This window comes from Homo sapiens, chromosome 10, assembly GCF_000001405.40.
Source record: "Homo sapiens chromosome 10, GRCh38.p14 Primary Assembly".
Lineage (NCBI taxonomy): Eukaryota > Metazoa > Chordata > Mammalia > Primates > Hominidae > Homo > Homo sapiens.
The window spans coordinates 81,654,950-81,672,011 of NC_000010.11; positions in this window are offsets into that span (position 1 = coordinate 81,654,950).

Genomic DNA, 17,062 nt, shown 5'->3' on the forward strand with positions numbered 1-17,062 from the left:
TAGCTACCCCTGCTCTCTTTTGATTTCCATTTGTAGGAATGTCTTTTTTCTTCCCTTCATTTTGAATCTATGCGTTTCCTTAAAAGTAAAGTGCATTTCTTGTAGGAAGCATATAGTTGGGTCTTGTTTTCAAATATATTCACCATTATACCTCTTTTTATCAAAGAATTTATTCCATTCACATTCAAGGTAATTATGGATATATAATGACTTGCTAATATCATTTTTTAAAATTGTTTTTTGGTTGTTTTGTAAATCCTTTGTTCCTTCCTTTCTGTCTTGAGGCTTTTGACCTGCCTGTACTTACATACTTATTTTTCTCCAAATTTGGCAACTTTTCTGATATTATTTCTTTAAATAAGCTTTCTTGTGTTTTATCCCTTATTTCTTAAACTATCATAATTTGAACATTTGCTTTTTGGTGGTGTTCCATAAATCAAAGAAACTTTCCTTATTCCTTTATCTTTTTACTCTTCTGATTGTTTATTTTCAATTACCTTTATTCAAGTTCTCAGATTTTTCTGCTTGATCAATCCTGCTGTTGATGCATTTATTCATTCTATTCCTTGAATTTTTTAGCTCCAGAATTTGATTTTTTTTAAATAATTTACATCTCTCTGCCAAAATTTTTGTCTTGATCATTTGTTGTTTTCCTGATTTTGTGGATTTGCTTACATTTTCTTGAAATTCACTGAACTTCTTTAAAACAATTACTTTTAATTCTTTGTTAGGCAGTTTGTGCATGTCCATTTCTCTGGGTTCAGTCACTAGGAGATTATTTTGTTTTTTGGTGGTGGTATTCTGTTTTATTTTTCATATTTTTCATATCTTGTTGACTTACATTGATGTTCATGCATGTGAAGTAGTAGTCTTATTCCAGTCTTTGTAGAATGGCTTTTTTAAAAAGAGCATTTTACTAGTCATTCCATTTAGAGATTCTAGGTAGCCTGTCTGGCATGATCCTTAGGAGAGATTTCTGCTGGAATTGTCCAGTTGGCTGACTTGATACCTGGTTTAGCAGGTAGCTGGGCCTGGAAATTGGATCCACTGGGGTGGGCCTGTTGATTGGGTCTGTGGGTGTAGGCCTGGATCCTGGGTTGACAGAAGTTTCACTGGCACTCGGGTAGGCCTTAAGCCTAAGCCTGCAGGGGCTGGCTAGGCACTGTGATAGGCTTACCACTTGGGTCCACTGGGACAGGCTTGGATCCTGAGTCCACAGGTGTAGACCTGGTATCTGCATCTACACGGGCTGTCCTGGAACCTGGATCTGTGAGGGAAGTCCTGGAGACTCGGTCTGCAAGGGCCAATCTGTCTGTAGTGTCTACTGGGGCAAGCCTGGACCCTGGCTCCTCTGGCATCTGGGGCCACAGAAATTGACCTAGAGCCTGGGAATGGCCGGTACTGGGGCAGGCATGGAGCCTGGGCCTGTAGAGGTTGGTCTAGAGCCTGAAATTTTGAGTTCTGCCTGGGGCCTGGAGCCATAGATGTTGGCCTGGAGGCTGGGGATATGGGGATGGGCCTGTAGCCTAGGACTTCTGAAGCCAGCCTAGAGACTAGGTATGTGTGTGTGTATTGGCCTGAAGTCTAGGTCTGTGAGGGCTGGCCTGAGTCCTGGAGCCACAGGGTTTGGCCTGGAATCTGGATTCACAAGGTCAGTCCTAGAGCCTGGGTCAATGTTGGCTGGTTCAGTACTGACGTTTACTGAGCTTAGGCCCTGGGTCTGCTGGAGCTTAGGGTCACAGGAGCTGGCCTGGAGGGAGGGGCTGCTGATTCCCTGAGGCTAGAAATGCCAACCTAGCATGGAGTGGGCCAGAGGCATGAGGCTATATGGGCAAAAGTGGCTCTAGGCTGGTCTGAAACCTGGGTCAGGCCTAGAGCCCAGGGCCACAGTGTCTAGCCTAGTCCTGAGTAGACTTGGAGCCTATATCCACCAGGGCTGGCCTGGAGGGTTGTTCTGCAGTGCCGGTCTCAAGTCTCAGGCTTCAGAGGCTGGCCTGGTTCTAAGGTAGGCCTGAAGCCTGGAGACCTGGAGGTCAGCCCAGTGCTGTGGGCAGTCTGGAGCCTAGGGCCTCTGAGGTTGTCCTAGCAGTGACAAAGACACATATACCAAGTACACCAGGCCTTCCTGGAGCCTGAGGCTGTGGTATCTCTCCTGGCACTTAGGTCTGGAGGCTTAGTCCATGGATACCAGCCTAAAATCTGGGGCTGTGGGCTTTTCCTGGGGTAGGTCTAGTGTTGAGGTCCTATGCAAATTTCAGTGCTTACTTCCCTGTTTCTCCCCCATGCAAAGGGTATCTCTCTTTACTCTTTGCTGCCAGGGGCTCAGGGAGGGGTGATGTGGTTAATGTAAAACTGTCCCTCCTATCCTTTTCAACATGTCCTTTCTTATTTCTGTGTTATCTGTAGGTGCTATAATCTCTCACCTGATTTCCTTTGCTCCTGTGAAGGTAATTTTGTATATAGACACTTGTTCAAAGTGATGTTTTTGCAGATGAATGAGCTCTTGGAAGTCCTATTCTTTTCTCTTGCTGATGTCCTTCCAGGTCTTAACAAATTTTCTAATGACATTTAGTGCAAGGTGACCCTTGGCCCATATAGGAACAATAGCCACAGGCTACGACACTGATATTTAGTGATTGAATAAGTAGTGCCCACATGAAAACTTAATCTCAATACAGAGTTCTGTTTTTTTTTAAGTGGTTTCCAGTGGCTTATATAAAAAGTGAGTTTCTAAGAGTTGAGCATGACTTATGAAGTGACCAACTTATTACTGAAGATACTGTGGTCAGAAGCAATTGCGATATTGTAGATTCTTTTACAAACATTGCTGTACTAAAAAACCTTAATTATAGCCAACCTTGGAGGACAAAACAGAGAGTGAGAGTAATGACAGCAGAAACCCCAGGTTACAGCAAAAGGTCACTGCAAAGAAGTTATGCTTTTAAAGCTCTATCCTAAAATAATCTGGACGTTTTAAATATGCACAAATTATTGTAATTCTTGGAATTTCTGCCTTAGAAAGAATTACAATTGAGCTTGTCTAAAAGGAAAATCATCTTCAAGCATAGCCTTTGGAATGAGTGATGGTTACATAGATGAGAAGAAAAATACATGAAAGAAGGAATGTGACAAGGATAAAAGATGATTCTTCCTATATTGGCACTTTGAACGCAAGTGATTGGAACCTGCTATGAAAGCAAAGGTGTTAGACTGAGAACAAAATGGTGTGCATTGTGTCACACTTGGTGACATTTGGAAGATTACCTACTTGTGCAGGTGTGTGTGTGTGTGTGTGTGTATGGACGTGTGTGTGTTTAGAATGAAAAATGAAATGGGGAGGCCAGAGCTAATGTTATCGAAAGGTTATGGAGTAAAGTAGTCACAGATCTAAAAGATGCTTGTGTCCCATGTGTGTTTTCTATCACTCACTTCATTTAATTATTTGGTTTTTAAGGTCATAAAATGTGTTTTCATTAGACTGATCTGAGAGATAATGCACTGTTTGTTTAATAATCCTAATACTATTTTCAGAGCATCGAAATATTATAGTTCCCTTATTTAATATTTTATTTTATACTATAGTTAATATGAACTAAGTGTTAGAAATTCTCGTCGTGAAGAACAACAGAGAAAGTGAAGAAATGCCAAAGACTAACCCACATCACGTGTGCATATCACATATCCTGGGTCTCAAAAGTGTCATTTTATATTCTCACCATTTCTAATTAGAATAATGACACATCAACAAATTTTTATCTAGGATTTAAGAGTTACATAGGCACATTTAATTTTTGTCATATCTCAGATAATCGATGCAGATTAGACTTAATGACAAAAGCTAATTGAGTACTACTTATAATTTCCAAAAATTAAAATTAAACAAAGATCATTTTGTCTTTAACTGATAAATAATAATGAAGAGTTAGAAAAATCTCTGTGAAATGAAAGCAGTGTGGGGGAGAGTGCAGGACTGTGTGTGAGCAAGTGAGGTTCACAACTGTATTTTTAACCCTATAGTGCCCATGTTTTCTGAACAGTCAATTTCAAAGGCAAATGAATGCAGAACATGAGTTATCATTTAAATGCAAAAAAGATTTTATTAGAATTTTCATCTCCCCTTTTGGGACTGTGACAAGTCTGTGATATGGATTAAAGGAAATGAAAACTCCTCCACAGAAGCCAGCCAAAAAACCTCTTTGCTTTGGAGTGTACTCATTTGGGTTACAATTTCTGTTCTGTTTCTGTTTTAACGTCACATTTGAGCTTCATCTTATTAAGTTCATTTACATTAGTATGAAAGTCAGCGTAATAATAGAATAAATTATTTTGAAATTAATCTTAAAATACTAAAGACTCTAAGGCAGTTTTGATGACTAAAGTTGATTATAATGGTTAAATATTGACAATATAGTATATTCTCCAATTATTTCTCTGAATATTGCATCTTATGATACATTTCTTGAACTTCTTGTGTTATTCTTCATGTTTAAAAAAGGATCTCTGAATAGGTAATGATTATTTTGATGTAGGCAAAGCATCAGAATACTAAAACCAATAAATAAAATAATGTGGGCAACTAAATAATATAAGTAACTAACTCAAAAATAGATGCTACATTTTATTTTTAAAAAGAGATATTAGAGAGTAAGTTTATGAATCAGAAAATAGTGAAGATACATACCATAAGTCAATCTTATAGAGATATGTAATTTAAACTATTACCACATTTAGGAATTATGCATGCCTCGTCTCCATTTTGGGAGCTGAAGATGGGTGGTAAGAGAACATTGATGTTCTTATTCCACAAGATAAATCATTATGCTTCTTCAACCATATTCAGCATGTGATTGAAGTGAAAAGCATACAACTACTGTGTAGGGAAAACCATATTGGAAAATGTAGCACATTAATTGATGAGAGAGAAGCACACAGAATTGTAATAACACAGATGATCATTGGGCATCATCAACTGAGAGAACCAAGGAAGGGTTGAAGTTTTTGTAGCTGGAAAGAGCATGGGAATTAGTCACATGAGTAATAATGCCAGGCAAAAGGTACACAGGTGGTCAGAGCTCTGCCAATTTGTCAGCTTGAAAGAGCACCACTTCCTTTAGCACATAGAATGCACGTGGGACTGTGAAAAGCCATGAAGCTCGAGATCATCAAGAGAAGCCATTCATAAAGGGCATGGGATACATATTAAAGCCTTTGAATTTGGTCTTAGCCATGATCTACAAACAGTAAAGGATTTAGGCATGAGAGTGATATAAACATGCTGCATTTGCAAATATAGCTTTCAGTAGTTTGGGAAATTTTACAGATCATTGCTGTTCAGTAGAACTTTCTATGATAATGGAAATTTCTATATCTGCACTGTTTAATATGGCAGTCCCCGACCACCTGTGGCTATTAAGCATTTGAAATGTGGCCAGTGCTACAAAAAACCCTGAATTTTTAATTTATATACTTTAATTAATTGAAATTGAAGTTGAAATACACATTTGGCTGGCAGATCCTGATTTGTACAGTGCAACTGTAGTGGTAGAGCTGACTTTACTCAAAGTTATTGATAAGAAGGCGGTTGAAGAAATCTAGATGTCCTGGTATGCGATATTATTTTGTTCTGTATTAAATCCTCATAATAAAAACTTAAGAAATGGTTTGTCTCAAGAATGGGTCTGTTTTACTATTGTCACCCTTCTCTCTAAAAAAATTCTCCATTCCTAAACCAAACCTCAGAACTCTGAGGACTGGAGGCAATGATAACAAGAAAGTGAATGTCATTACTTGGAGTATGAAATTCAGTCCAAGTATGCTTTTAACCATGCCTTGGTGGGTAAGTACCCTGGAAAGTAAACCAATAAATTAATATTCATTTTTAATTAATTTAAATATACATTGAGCACCTTACTATTTGCCAGTGTGATAGACACTGGAGATGAGGGCATGAAAAGGTCTGAACTCCATACAATCATAATCAATAAGGGAAAGCAGATACACCTACATTTAATCATAATATAGTGAATGGTATATGATGATTGGCAGTTTGAATAAGATGGTCATCTCACCAGAGATATAGAAGTGCTTAATTCTGCATGAAGGGGTTAGGAAAGAGTTGAGTCAGGAACTAACTATAAAGTTTAGAAGAAACTTTCCAAGGTGAATTCAAAGGAAGGGGAAGAGATAGTAGGTATGAGGATAGTAGGTATGCAGAAGTGCTTGGGAAAGAGAGAAACTGTGTGGAGTTGAAACAGCATAATAAAGACATTCAAGTGTGAAAATTAATTATTGTTTTAAAAACTGTATACAAGCTTCTATGCCTAGAAAGTCAGATTATGACTAAAGTTGAAGCTCAGAAGCCATGTTACACTGTGTGGAAATGATTGGGAGTTGATTTTTTTTTTCTTAAGAAATGATATAACTTGGTCAGATTTGGAGTTTTAAGGAGCGTTGAGAAATGACAAATGTTGAAGACTGAAATAGGACACACAAGCCACAAGCCCGAATATGAATGGACAGATTTTTGAGATGTTAGAGTTTTTTAAATTTTAATATTGAGGTTCATAACTAAAGCCACAAAATCCTTCCAGTCTGAGAAATGATGTCAATTTTTCTTTTTATATGTGTTTTTCTGTCTCATCAACAGCTTGGCATCCACTCACCCTGCAATGACTTAAAACACACAGCTCTCTATGCACTATGGTCTGGATAGGGCTTGAAGATTCATTAGATAAATAGGTAAGGGTGATAGAGAAAACAGGATGATTGCCAAGGTTTATGGCTAGAGACTGTGGAAGCTGATACTATTAATGAAATAGGGAAGAAGTCAGAAGAGCCAAGGCTAGGGATGGTGGAAATGGATTTTGAGCCAGTTCTGCTTCTAGCTATTCTTTATCTTTTCACTGAGTGACAGTAGGGATTACTCACCCTCTTACAAAGTACCCTGCAGCTCTGGTGAGTTTAATCTCATGAGGCGATTACCATTACTGTACATCTGTCTGGCTGGAAATCACTGTCTTTCCTATCTTAGAGCACATTCAAGCTGCAAGGAGGAAATTGTTTGGGCACACAGTAGTTTATTTGTAGAGAAAATACTTTAGCCAACCTGACAGAGCAAGTTTGGCTTACAAGTTATCTCTCCAAGTCACTTTGCTCCAGGAAACTAAGGGTAAAGCAGTTAATAGCCCATGAGTTTCTTGCAGAAATGGAAAATGCACTACAAATGGAATTTTCACAGAAGAAAGGAAGAATGAAATACATATTGAGCTGGAATCACATGCTTTGAGTGATGGTGTACCTAAATACATTGCCACATATTTTCTGTTTGCTTCTTTCACCGAACTGAAGCTACTGATAGCTGATATTTTGCAATTGGTATCTAAACTCCAGGTAATTCTGCCAGGCTTCTCTTCCTCTAACCATGTCCATAGGCCATGCATCATGGCTCCCCATGGTTTCTTTATCCCATTTGAACTTTATAACTACGTATAAATTATTCTTCTTGGTATCGACATGTAACCTTATAGGCATGAACCTTGCTTTTCACAGGCATGAAATACGATGTCCCCATGTTCAGCCAAGGTCCCAATACCTTGTTCACAAAGCCTCTAGCAGGGCAGGAGAGCTGACTGACATGGTACCATGTGCTACATAACTAACTTTGGGCCCTGGCTCACTTTTAACTGCTAAAATTTGTAATTTCTAAAATTGTAGTTCAGATTGAATACGGCAGAAATTCAACACCGAAAATGAAACTGGGGCTACATCACATGCTGGAAATGCATTCAGTGCTCTGAGGCATTTTCAAAAATATTGACTGCACTTAAAAACTAGAGCAAAAGAAAAAGACAGCTTGGAAGCCCAAAGCCATTACATTGTTCACTTTTAAAGGGAAGTGTCATTAAAAAAAAGTTGTTTAATTTAATATAAGTTTCAATGTAACATTATATGCTAATATAGGTCAAAAGCCCAAGAAAAAGCCTATAAGTGTCCAGAAAGTTTTACTAGGGAATGCTGACAGGGTATAGCCCCAGTGACCTCAAGCAATTCAGAGTATCTGCTGGTTGATTGCTGGGTGTGTCTGTGGTTTCTTTATTCTTCTTCTGTGCCCAGTGTCTTCTGCTAGATGATGCCTCTCCAGGAGCTCTGAGTTTTGCTGCTTTTATCACACTTTGCCACTAAGCACTTCTGAAAGCTCGTTCTGCTGGACGGACTCCACTCCCATATCCTATTTAGTAAAATTGAGGGCCTCACAGTGTCCAATAAACTGGTGTCCTGGAGACATAGATGTGACTGTAGATGTGTGGATATGTACTGTTGAGAAATGGTGGTCAATACCCCTTGACCTTTAAGACATCTTCTGTTCTGAGGACATGTTTGGTCCTAGTCTTAAGAGGTTTTGTTTTGTTTTGTTTTAATGAAATAGCTCTCTCTCTCTCTCTCTACTTCAGCTTCTCCTCCTATCCAGTGATCTACACCTGAGTCTACTTGGGAAACTGTTCCAAAGAGAGCTCCAAGTAGGATATAACCATTCCCACTTATACTAAATGGGACTTCTCATCAGAATATGTCCTTACTTTGCCTTCCCCTTGGATGAGGGCTCTTCCTTCGACTAGCATAAGAGGAGCTATAATGGCCCTACCTGATATGAGTCACCTGACAGAAGAGACATGCCTCACCCATCAAAGAGTTAGATTCTTTACATTCATTATCACTCATGCTAGCAAAACCATTAAAGGTTAGTATTATGTCCCAATATATCAATGAGGGGATTTGAGCATAGAGTTAAAAACTTAATTTAAGTTTCTGCTTTGAAGCTAAAGGGCCCAGTAATGGGCCCTAACTGTTCAGGTAAAAAGCAGTGAAAATGGTGACTAAGTCATCTTCCCACAGCCAAGGGCAACTTTCAATATAACTACCAGATATTTTAACTGATTATGGAATTTCAAAACTATGATTAAATATCTATGAGTACATTTTATATAATATTTTAATAGCATGTGTTAAATGTAGTCTTAACTAGTAAAAATATGATTTAGGTAATTGGACTTTGCTTGATCAAAGTAATTTTATTCCCAGATGCATTGAGATAAGCTTGCTGCCAAAATTAATCAGATGATTAAACAAAATTCTAAAAACATTCTCCAAGTGGTCATAACACCTACGCCTTCCAATATTAGTTTCCTAAGATAGTTAGAATGGAGTAGGCAGAAGTATGAGTTGGAGTACCTGCTAATTTAGTCCTCCTTGAATTCAGATTCTAGCTTTGACATTTACTGACTATATATAATTTTTTAACTTTAAGCTCAAATCCCCTCATTGATATATTGGGACATAATACTAACCTTTAAGGTTTTTGCCAGCTGAATAATAATAAATGTAAAGGACATAGCTCTTTGTCAAATAAATAGTAGCCACTCAATAAACACTATTATTTAGTGTTTATTACACTTGAAACCAAAGTACAGCATCTCACTTTTGCCTAGTTTTCACATCTTCATTCAGCATATATCCAAATGCATATGTATTCAATTTATATAATGAATCAAGCACTGAGCATTATACCAAGTACTATGTATTTTTCAGAAGATAACCTGCTGTCAAAATGAATAACAATAACAATAAAAATAGTGAGAGAGGGAGAGAAAAGGAAAAAGAGAACAGCCTATATAATATTCTATTGTTTTTCACTACAAGGTCTCAAATTTAAAATTAAATTTTCACAAAATATTATAGAGAATAGTTTTAAACCTCTATCTTAAAAATAAAGATACTAACCCTAAAAGGGGCTAGGTTACTTTCTAGGGTCATACAGCATGAAAACAACTCCAGGTAAATCTTTACTTATGGCCAGAATGGTTTCTCACACCTGTAATCCCAGCACTTTGGGAGGCAGAGGAGGGTGGATCACTTAAGGCCAGTAGTTTGAAACCAGCCTGGCCAACATGGCAAAACCCTGTCTTTACTAAAAATCCAAAAATTAGCCTGGCGTGGTGGTGCATGTCTGTAATCCCAGCTACTCAAGAGGCTGAGGCATGAGAATCTCTTGAGACCAGGAAGCAGAAGTTTCAGTGACCTGAGATTGCACCACTGCACTCCAGCCTGGGCAACAGAGTGAAACTGTCTCAAAAAAAATTCTTCTTTACTTACTACTTAAGTTATCAAATCTTTGTATGTGAAACAGAGAATAAATAATACACAGAAATACACAGATAAATATATAGCAATGTATATGCAAAAAAAAAGTATTGGGAAACAGACATTAAATGGCAATTTTATAGCCCATTTAGTAAAATTGAGGGTAATGTTGTCTTGCTACTGTGAGGTGCCATCAGATCTTCTACAACCAAGAGTTATGCATTCCCCATGTTCAAGTGATTATAGCAAATAATTAGTTGTGAGTTTGGTATTTATACATGCTTTAACTGTAAAGGACTCTGGCAAGGTTTTCAAGAACATGGCACTGTCTTTTTTGTTCATTTCTTCACTTGGGATTTACAACTGAGAGATATATGTGTGAATTACTAAAAATTCACCCTTCCTGCTATAACTAATAACATACTGATATCATGGAGGCCAAAAATTACACTAAAAAAAAGTATTAAGTAGTTGTATTTAGTCTTGGATCTAAAACTTAGGGAGGACCTTAGGGACAGCAAGCATACTGCAAATCGTAGTTTACCATTCCAACTGAACTGAAATGATGCCTTTTAATATAATACCAGGTCAGGAACTTTTCAGAAAAATTAGGATTTCTAGGCAGGGTTTTATACATTTCTGACTCATATACAGTAAATAATCACTTATTAATGCCTGCTAACTCAGAGAAGCATGATGATGATGCAAGGAGCCTTTGAAGGAGCTTAAGGATGCACTTCTTGATTAAAGCTAGATGTTACTGGAGAGAGAAAATGAAGAAGGCAGAGAAGGAGGAATAAGAGAGGGGAGGAAAGAATGGAAGAGAGAGAGAAAGAGAGGGGAGGAAAGAATGGAAGAGAGAGAGAGAAGAAGAAGAAAGAAAGCTTCCTAAGGCTTGCTGTTGTCTTCAGTATAAGAAGCTGGCCACAGTGAAAAGGTTATTTTTACAGAGTCAGTGACAGTGTAAAAAAGTAATAAATCTCAACATTCTTGTCGACTGCCAGAATAGCGAGAATGTTCCCCATTTCCTCTTCCCAGGCCACTGTGCCATAGAAATGGAGACAGAGTATTGGAAAGGCAGTGGGGAAAGAGTGACATAAACTAGACATAAGTTTTTCTCCAGGAATCCATTCATCTTCTGTCAAAGATTGGAAAGGGAAGGACAAGCAATGGTGCCATCATGCAACTTAGTCCTCATCATAAATTATCATTCTTTATGACAGGAAGCTGAACAGAAAGGAAAAACTGTGAAGTTTGCAGTTTGTTGCTGAAACATTTACATGCTCATTTGTCTCTCTTCTTATCTTCTGTTTTATAAAGGAGTCTAGTCAGTCAGGGCATGGATAGCTATAGGCAGGGAGAGGGTGAATCCTAAAATTGGACTCTAGCTGAAGACAGAACATGGAGTGATGGAGGATAAAGGAGGGTGGTGGCAAAAACAGAAGAGTAGTTGTCTTGAAGGTGAACACAGCATCCAAAATGAGCACCATCCATAAATCATAGTACAGGTAAGACGTTGGTATCAGGGACCCAGACAAAGTGATGAAGGGTCCCAGAGAGAGAACACAGCACAAGACGGGGGAAAGAGGGGGATGCTTGAATTGTGGGCAGCCATCACTGTTTGTCAGTGGCAGGACCCAAGACACAAGCTGTGATTTCACACTCTGGTAGAGACAAAATGAAACAATTGGCCAGTGAGAAGCCAGGTGCTGTCCTTGGTAATGGATACACTGCCAAGATCAGCAATCAGCCCGTGGGGGCAAGAAAAAACCCAGGACTTGAAATTAGCTGCACAAATGTGATTGAGCCACAGATGTGAGAAGTGGAGCTGCCTGAGTGCCCCCTGTAAGATGTAAGGGTGCAAGTTGGTGGCACCCACTGCCCCTGGAGGGTAGTGTATGGACAAGTATGAGGTATCATATCAGGTTGTGTGGTCTGGTATACTAGGGAACCCAGTAAGGATTTGCTAAACTGAACAGACAAAACTGCAACAGGATACAGCAAATCTGAGGGGTGCAAAAAGGATAGAAAGGTCAAATGAGGCCAGGAGTGGTGGCTCACACCTGTAATCCCAACACTTTGGGAGGCTGAGGTGGGTGGATCATGAGGTCAGGAGTTCAAGACCAGCCTGGCCAAGATGGTGAAACCCCATCTCTACTAAAAATACAAAAATTAGCCGGGCGTGGTGGCGGGTGGGCGCCTGTAATCCCAGCACTTTGGGAGGCCAAAGTGGGTGGATTGCGAGGTCAGGAGTTCAAGCCCAGCCTGGCCAAAATGGTGAAACCCCGTTTCTACTAAAAATACAAAAATTAGCTGGGTGTGATGGTGGCCGCCTGTAATCCCAGGTACTTGGGAGGCTGAGGCAGAGAATTGCTTGAACCCAGGAGGCGGAGGTTGCAGTGAGCCAAGATCACACCACTGCACTCCAGCCTGGGCGACAGAGCGAGACTCTGTCTAAAAAAAAAAAAAAGGTAAAATTAATGTGTTTCACAATTAATAATAGGCAATGAAGTAGGACAGGATGAGTTTCGAGGAGTGGGACAGCAGAGATTGTTGCCTTTTATAGGGTACTCGAACTGCAGCCTAGGGTGGAACAGATGGTTAAAAGAACCACTTATGGCTAAAGAGGAGGTGCTTCATGCTGGATAGGTCCTACAAGCTGTAGTTTTAGGCAAAGGGAAAGAGAAGAGAGAGCTGTGAAGAGGGAACTGATGCCACCAAATCCAGCAGAGCCCACTATTCCTCTGCCTATTAGGTGCCTAATCACACTTTCCTGTCTTTAATTTCCCAGTCCTGGGGCTGGGGCCTCGAACAGAGATCTGGATGGGAGACACAAGACTCACGACAAAAGTGATGCTCAGGGCAGTAACCAAAGTGATGCTCAGGGCAGTAACCAAAGTCTCTGAGACACATTAGTCCATTTAGCAAATAAATACGAATAACTACTTCACAGGTTTATGTCTGAGATTAGCATCTGTGAACATCACTGTAAAACTTAAATGACTATATGGATGTACTGTTTCTGTCAGATAATTTTTCTGAGGAGTCAGGCACTTGCAGCCCCAGTTCCAGGAAGACACAAGAAGGTGACATTTGGGAATCCTTCCATTTTGAGAAGCCGGCCCTTTCCACGTGAGAAACAGTGCCACGTCTGACAGATGTAAAGGAAGACGATCTGACAGCCTTTGAGGTCTCACATGCTTCTTTGCAAACTGCTGTAGTGTAGGCGCTGGTGTCATTGAGCCGTCCTAAGATGGCAGGGAGCAGAGACCCTCTCAATGTGCTGGCATGCCTCCTTGCTACCAAAGCCCACACAACTCATAGGAGCTAAGAAAGAAAGCCAGAAATCAAGGTGAACTCACAGATATGAAAAGCAGCAAACTGAAAAGAGAAATCTTGTCTCTCCAGCACTGTGAAAAAATGCAATTTGTTTGTTTTACTCAGATTTTTTTAAGCCAGGTGATCTGCAGGAGATGCCCTAGAGCAAGGCTTCACAAGACAGCCAAATGCAATTGCTTGCATCATAACAGAAAAAAATTCTGGTACTCCCAAGGACAATGAGTCATAATCAGTTTGTGAAAAACTGAGAAAAAAAAAAGGTTTTCCTTCATTTGAGGTTTTAAGAAAGTTTTTAGATCAGAGCTTCTTAAACTTCAATGTGCATCCAGATCGCCTGGGACCTTATTCAGATGTTGATTCATATTCAGCAGGTCTGGGAGGTGGGTGGGGGATGAGATTCAGCATTTCAACAAGCTCCCAGGTGATACCAGTGCTGCTGCTTCACTGACTTTATGCTGAGTTGGAAGGTACTAGACAATTAGAATTGTGGGTTTGAAAATAACTATTATGATGTATACATATAAATGAAAGATTGATGTGAAGGAAAAATAAGCTACCCTCATATAAAATGAGAGGATTTTGATATCAAAATGTTTTGAAAATGTTTGATGTTCTCTAACACATGCTCTCCTTTGCAAGTATTTACAACTCATTTGTGAAATCAAAATATGTATACCACAAACACATAAGCATATGAATGGTGTAGAATTAGAAAAATTGTATACGTGCGATATAATTAGTATAATTTACTGGGCTACCTTTTTCTTCAGTACCCTCATCTGCTAAAGGGACAAAACAACAGAACTCTTGTTTGCATTAAAATAATACTTAAACATCTGTGAGTTATTGCCACATATAATAAACTCTCAATAAATATCCAGTATCAATAATAGTAGTAAGGAATTGATAGCAACAGGAAGCAGACAAATCCTAGGCAGACAGGGGCAGGTCTCCAGTGAAACCCCACCTTCAAGCCAAAAACAGCCTGAAGCCTGAAGACCAGGCTGCTGGTTCCTGATGAAGCCTGTGACCCCAAGTGAGAACTTTTGTTTCCATTCGCACGCTATTTCCACATTGGTTCTTTATGAATAATGCTTTTAAACCCATTGAATGTTGCCTTTTCCAGTGCTACCTGTGGTTCACACCTCCCCCATTCTGTGTCCATTAAAAACCCTGAACTCAGCCATACTTGGGGACTACTCAATTTCAGATAGGGGGCTGCCCACTTTGGGCCCCCTCTCCACTAAGAACTGTTCCATCATTCAATAAACTCTTTGCCTTGCTCACCCTCTGGTTGTAAGCATAACCTTATTCTTCTTGAACACGGGACAAGAACCCAGGACCCACCAAACATGGGTACAAAAAAGGCTATAACATTGTAGTCCTCTGCCCTCCAATAGTGCTGGGTGGTTACCCCACACCAACAGGAAACAGCAAATAGGCTGGGCCAGCACAAGAGCCATGGGCGAGAGCAGAGTGGAGGGACTGAATGAGCTGTAACCCAAATGACTAAAACATGCCCTGCCCTCATTCACTGGGCTGCACGTGGCAGGAAGGAGAGAAGAGCTATGACCCTTGGGGATCCCCAAGCCAGAGCTGTGACACACTGTAATACCCTCTTTGAGGTTCTGTGGTTTCTGGAGTCTCCAAGTTTTTCAGGTGCCACCGTGTTTCTCTCATCCACACACCAGCACCCAAGGTGGAAGCAGGTTGTGGTATGCCTAGCCCAGCCACGGGCTGGGCAGTCGAAGGGGGCCAAGTGGGCAGGGTACCTTCAGTTGCATGCCTGGAGCTGAGCAAGGCCCTGGGGAGGGGCATGGCTGGCCATAGGGTCTCTGGCTGGAGAAGCGGCACTGAAAAAATCCTGCATCAGAATGGACGGACTTTGAGAGAGTTTCTCATATAAAGCCTTCTCAATTCTGTTTAATCTTATAATTTTCTGATAAAAAATCAATAATTGTCTTTTTTAATTTTGGGAAATAAGAAGATTGTTGAACAAAATTTTATAATTCATGGGTTCTTTGTTTTTTGTTTTTTTGTTTTTTTTGAGACAGAGTCTTGCTCTGTCACCCAGGCTGGAGTGCAGTGGTGAGATCTCGGCTCACTGCAATCCCCGCCTCCCAGGTTCAAGTGATTCTCCTGCCTCAGTCTTCAGAGCAGCCCGAGCAGCTGGGACTATAGGCCCGCACCACCACGCCCAGCTAATTTTTGTATTTTTAGTACAGACAGGATTTCACCATATTGGCCAGGCCAGTCTTGAACTCCTGACCTCATGATCCACCCACCTCGGCCTCCCAAAGTGCTGAGTGAAATCTATGTTTAATCCAATTAAGAAGAGACATACATTCTCAACACTGCTCTTTGTGAATATCCATGCAATGTTTAAGTCACAGAATATTTATATATATATATGTATGTTATATGTGTGTGTGTATTCAAATTTTAGGTTATAATGCATATATTGTATCTTCACATTGTCACTAAAATATAGTAAAAATCTCTCATACTATAAAATAAACATTTGTATTATCAATTTCAGTGGTTCCATTCAATACCTATACCATAATTTATTTAAGTGTTCACTGATTACTTTTACTAGATGTTTAAGGTTGTACTCTTTTTTAATATTAAAATATCATTAGAATGCCCTTCCTTGCAAACAAAATGTGAGCATACTTGTGGTTTTGTTATGAATTCAGAAACAAAAATTGTTAGAATAAAGGGTATGCAGCCTGGCACAGTGGCTCACGCCTGTAATCCCAGCACTTTGGGAGACTGAGGCGGGTGAATGACAAGGTCAGGAGATTGAGACCATCCTAGCTAACACGGTGAAACCCCGTCTGTACTAAAAAAATACAAAAAATTAGCCAGGCGTGGTGGCATGCGCCTGTAGTCCCAGCTACTCAGGAGGCTGAGGCAGGAGAATGGCGTGAACCCAGGAGGTGGAGCTTGCAGTGAGCTGAGATTGCGCCACTGCACTCCAGCCTGCCACCCTGGGCAGCAGAGCAAGACTCTGTCTCAAAAAAAAAAAAAAAAAAAAAAAAAAAAAAAAAAAAAAGGGTATGCATGCTTTTAAAGGCTTTTGGTACTTATTTCCAAAAAAAAAAAAAAAAAAGGAGGGTAGGCATGCTTTTAAAGGCTTTTGGTAATTATTTCCAAATTAGCCTACACAGGCAGTGGGTTGATGAATGCAAAGCATGGGTATGTGGTGGTGGGAAAAGCGGGGAGGAAAGGGCAGTCTGAGGGGAAACTGGGAGCCCAGACCATAAACCGTCTGGAAGTGATGATGAGCGGTTAAATGTTCACCATGAGTGAGGTGGGTGGCAAAGAAGATTTGGAAGACATGATTTGACTTAAGTTTTAAAAGAACTGAGAGCAGAAGCAGGAAGAACTGGAAGGAGGAGGAGTAATAGGACCGCAAAAGGAGGCCCCTCTAGCTGAGAAAGAGCCAGGCCTATAGGGTGAGAAGGTGGGGAGAGGTCAGATTCTGGATATAATACAAAGATAATGAAAACAGGCTTCCTGAATGTGAAAAAAAAAAGTTTAAAATTACATCAAGATTTTTGGCCTAAAAGAATGGGAAGAA